Source organism: Homo sapiens, chromosome 3 (assembly GCF_000001405.40).
Source record: "Homo sapiens chromosome 3, GRCh38.p14 Primary Assembly".
In the NCBI taxonomy this organism is placed as follows: Eukaryota; Metazoa; Chordata; class Mammalia; order Primates; family Hominidae; genus Homo; species Homo sapiens.
Window position 1 is genome coordinate 148,143,805 of NC_000003.12, and position 1,743 is coordinate 148,145,547.

The following is a 1,743-nucleotide window of genomic DNA, read 5'->3' on the forward strand; positions in this document are numbered from 1 at the left end:
AGCATCTACTGTGGGCCAGACAGTTCTAGTGAAATAATTAGACAAAGCTCCCACAAATCCCTGCCTTCCTGGACCTTATATTTAATGGGGCAGGGGGACAGACACTAAGTAATTATATTACGTATTAGAAGGTGATGCACACTACAGAAAAAAAAAGCATGGTAAGTGGTATCAGAATTGTGTTATTGGGTATGGATTGCATTTTTTAAATATGATAATGATTGAGGTGACATTTGAACAAAGACTTGAAGGGAGTGAGGGAGCTGGCAAAGGGGCCATTAGGGAAAGAGTATTCCATCCAGGAATTTATTCAGGGTAAGGCTGTACCAAATGATCATTGAAGATCATGCCCAAAATATTAGAGGAACATCAAGTTTCCCAAGTTCAACAGAATAGTATGAAAAAAATAGTAGAACAGTAGAAAATAAGGTCAAAAGGGAAATTAATAGGCAGGTCATATGAATTCTTGTGGGCCTTATCATGGACTTTGTATTTTACTTATAAGGACTTTGTATTTTTACTTACTTATAAGGATTTTGTATTTTACTCAGTGTATATGGGGAATCACTGCGGTATTTTGATGAAGAAATAATCAGATTCACATTTTAAAAGGATCATTCTGGTTGCTGTATTGCAAATATAATACGGAGAGGGAGCGTGAGAAGAAGCAGAGAAAAAAACTAAGTAGGATACTCCTTTAATAACACAGATGAAAGAATATGATAGTGCAAATGAGACTGTAGCAATATAAATAATGAGAAACAGTGGGATTTCAGAGTATATTCTAAAGGCAGAGCTGAAAGATGGAACATGGGGTATGATAGAAAGAGAAGAGGCAACCGTGATCTCAGAGCTTCTGGTCTCCATTACCACATGTGGAAAGCTGCAGAAAGAGGGTTTGGGAAGGAAGACCAGATATTCCATTTCCAATATATTAAATTTAAGATGTCTATTAGATACCCAAAAGGAGATATCAACTACAGGATTTTGAACATAAGTCTGGAATTAGAGGTGTGTTTGCACATTGTTGTGTTTGTACATTGTTGGAAAAGAAGATGAGCCTGAATAACCACATACATACGGAAGAAAAAAGCATTTAGAGCAGAGTCCTCGGCATTCCAGAGGAGGAACCAACAAGTAAAACTGAGAAAGAACAATTGAAAAAGAGAGAGGAAAACCAGAAGAAGGTGTTTTACTGGAAGAAGGCAGTGAGGAAAGTCAATCAAAAGGCAAGGAATGATCAACGTGCCAAATACTTCATCTGATAAGCACCTGTCTCAACTCAAGTTTTGCCCTGGTGAAGCACCTCCTCCTCTTCAACACAGCACTGGGAATTCTGATGCTGACCTCTTGGTGCATTCACCTCTATCACAGGAGTTTCTTAGAAGGTAATCTGCAGATTCACAGAATCAAGCACTTTGATCTGTTCACCTTTCATGTCCATCACCAGGTCCTGGTAGTTTTATCTAATAATTTTACATTTGAATTTATCTGTTTCTCTCTAACTCCCTGTTTCTACCTTAAACCAAACCAAGCAATAGGCTCAAACCAGCTCCAGCTCCATCTCTCCCGTACACTACATCTGGATTGCTGTTTTCAAAATACAGCTTTCCTGATATCCCTGTGAATGTTTTAGGAAACTTTTAAAAATAAAAGCTTAACTCACAAACAGAAAATTGCATGTATTTACAGAAGTCTAAATTTTACAACATTCTTCTTGAATTTTGATTGGAATTACATTGC